The sequence below is a fragment of the Homo sapiens genome, chromosome 7 (genome assembly GCF_000001405.40).
Source record: "Homo sapiens chromosome 7, GRCh38.p14 Primary Assembly".
Classification (NCBI taxonomy): Eukaryota; Metazoa; Chordata; class Mammalia; order Primates; family Hominidae; genus Homo; species Homo sapiens.
The window spans coordinates 146,052,166-146,055,435 of record NC_000007.14 but is presented as its reverse complement, the minus strand read 5'-3'; the positions used below and the strand labels follow the sequence as shown (position 1 = coordinate 146,055,435).

The window sequence follows — 3,270 nt, the reverse complement described above, 5'->3', positions numbered from 1 at the left end:
CTAACCCTGACACCTTCCTTAATAAAATACCCTATGAAAGTAAGTGGTTCAGCGTAGTGGATCCGAAAGTTGTATTCTGGGCATGTCCCCTAGACGCTAAGAGTAGGGACCTCTTTGTCTTTGAACAGGGAAATTCCATAACTGGGAGAAAGCAACAGTACCAAGAGGACACTATGTATACTGATTCTAAATATGCCTATGGATTGGTACACAGCTTTGGAAAAATTTAGACACAGTGGGGCCTAATAAACAGCAGAGGGAAAGAATTGGTACAAGGAGAACTAATCACACAGGTTTTAGAAAGCCTCCTGCCTCCAGCAGGGGTAGCCACAGTTCATGTAAATGGCCATCAGAAAGGGAACGCTATAAAAGCTCTAGGAAACAGGCTTGCTGATGAAGCTGCTAAGCAAGCCTCCCTGGAGGAAGAAGTTATTTAGCCTAATCCCAAATATCCCTAAAGTAGTATTAAGGCCCCAATTTTCCAAAGATAAAGAAAAACCGGGCAAGATAGTGTCCACTCAAACTGAAGATGGGAGATGAGTGCTGCCTGATGGGAGAGAAATGATAAGCAAACCCATAATAAGAGACCTTATGTTCATACTGCGCAATGGGAGTCATTGGGGTCCCCAGGCTATGGGTGAGGCAATACTAAAGAATTATGAGTGTATAGGAATTTATGCCATTGCTAAACAAGTGTGTGGAGGTTGTGTGACCTGCCAAAGAATAAATAAAAAGGTAGTTAGAAAAGACTACCAGAGAAAGGCCTCACAAGTTAAGACCATTACAAAGCATTCAAGTAGATTTCACAGAAATGCCCAAAATAGGGAGACTAAAGTATCTACTAGTAATCCCTCTGGCTGGGTGGAGGCCTTCCCTCTCCTGACTGCCACTGCCGGGAATGTCATCAAAATAACCTTACAGCAAAAATTATACCCAGATTTGGCTTGGTGGAAAATATTGATTCAGACAAAGGGAGCCACTTTACCTTGAGGGTGCTAAGGGAAATTATGGGAGGTTTACACATTAGATGGGATTACCACACTCCTTGGCATCCCCACTCCTCTGGAAAGGTAAAGAGAATGAATAAAACTCTCACAAAGCATACTACCAAACCAATCTTAAACACTAAAATGCTGTGGACCAAATGTCTCCCAGTTGTGCCCCTTAGGATTAGCACAGCCCCAAGGGAAGACTTGGGATTGTCTCCTTACAAGTTATTATATGGGTCCCCCTATTTAGGCAGGGCTATAGACTTACCTATTATGGAAACTGAAGACCATTTTTTTTTTTTTTTTTGAGATGGAGTCCCACTCTGTCGCCCAGACTGGAGTACAGTGGCACGATTACAGATCACTGCAACTTCCGCCTCCCAGGTTTAAGCAATTCTCCTGCCTCAGCCTCTTGAGTAGCTGGGATTACAGACATGTACCACCACCTCTCGCTAATTTTTTATATTTTTAGTAGAGATGGGGTTTCACCACATTGGCCAGGTTGATCTTGAACTCTTGACCTCAGGTGATCCGCCCGCCTCAGCCTCCCAAAGTGCTGGGATTACAGGCGTGAGCCACTATGCCCTACCCAAAGACCAATTTTTAAGAAATTATATACTGGCCATCTCCTCCACTATGTCATCCCTTAGGTTAAGAGGACTTCTGACTCAAACTCCGCCTCTTGAGTTCATGATTCATCACTTTCATCCTGGTGACTTGGTGCTGATTAAGACCTGGAAGGAAGACAAGCTGCACTCAAGCTGGGAAGGTCCTTATCAAGTGATCCTGACCACCGAGAACAGCTAAATGAGGGTGGACTGATTACACATGGGTCAAGGGACTGGTAAAAGAGAACCTGAAATGGAGGGGAAAGGACTAATGGGAAGTGTATATGGATCACCTGAGGAGCCCGTAAAGTTAACTCTGAGAAAAACTAGAAGGGAACTATAAGTGGGCTCCATCATTGGGGTGTATGTGTTTAGGATTAATCGTAATACCAAGGGTGAGAGGTATGCAAATATGGGATGGGGTCTAGTAGAAGTAGAATATCCAATCAAACTAATAGTCAACAAAACTACGACCTCCACCTCCCAAAGTATAAACTTTGATGCCTGCCAAATCTTACCTTGGGGGAATTTAACAAACCAAAGTCAGTTGTCATAAGCAGACAAATATCTGTGTCCTGAAACAGGCCACTCTTGGGCCCTCTCAGAAAAGCCCTGTGCTAGCTGGAATGAGGTCTGGTTGACCACTCAATTTCAAGGCTGGGTAAGTCATTCATCCAAAAATAAACTTTGAAAGGATAAGATACATTTATATAAAGGTGCCATGCCATGTAACTGTGGAAATTTAGAAGGCAGTCCTATATTAATAGCCACAAACAACCCAGCTACTCTAGACCAGAAACCAAGGAGGTATGGCTTAGGAATAGATGTCTCAGGAAGGGGCCCCACAGGATGGTTAGCTCTCAGGCTAATTACCAACAATCTCTAGCTCACCTGGGCTTATTATAACTCCTGTTCCCACCACTTCCTTTAACATGCCAGGCAATGACCCTAAGAGAGTAAAAATAATTTAGATAACTGACCAAAGGCAGACTTTAGAAATTGAGACTGGATATGGAGATGTAAATGCTTGGGTTGCACGGGTCAAATTTTTGGTACTAGCTCTCAAGAGTGACTGTTACACATGCTCTGCTGGTCGACCTCAGGCACAGGTGGTTCTCTTTCCCCGAGGATGGGATACTAATCCCGAAGGAATGCGTTGCATGTTGGCTCTACGAGGACAGGGATGCACAAGGAAATGAGACTTGCAAGTCTATCATTGCTCTTTCCCACCTTGTGGAGATCAGATTCTAGAGCAATCCCCTTGTTCTCCATAGGGAATATGAACCACTCCTCTTGCCTCTCTAGGCAGGGGGCAGAGTTCAGTAAGCCTGTGGGAGAACTCTCAACTTATACCCTCATCCTAAAAGTTACTGGTGAGTCAAACAAAGGCAACTACTCGGCTCTTTATATACCCCAGGCTGATGTCTAGTGGTATTGCGGGAAAAGAAACCTCTGTGATCCGTTACTGTCCGACTGGACCAGGTTTTGTGCCTTAGTTTAATTGGCCATTCCCATCACTCTAGCATTTCATAAGATCCCCAAGAATCCACATGGCCACCGAAGCTGGAGAGATTTAACAAATTCTTTTGATCCCAACATTTATATTGACTTAATAGGATTCCCTAGAGGAGTACCTAATAAATTTAAGGTCCAAAACCAAATAGCTGCTGGGT

At 43.9% G+C, this 3,270-nt stretch overlaps 1 annotated feature.

Annotated features, from left to right (window-relative positions):
• Window positions 1,034-2,233: an enhancer, noted in NCBI's record as "P300/CBP strongly-dependent group 1 enhancer chr7:145750296-145751495 (GRCh37/hg19 assembly coordinates)". NCBI's record gives its function as "activates an origin of replication core promoter dependent on BRD2, BRD4, P300/CBP, MED14 and CDK7 cofactors, with strong dependence on P300/CBP, by STARR-seq in HCT116 cells {active_cell/tissue: HCT116}" and the evidence as "EXISTENCE:reporter gene assay evidence [ECO:0000049][PMID:35650434]".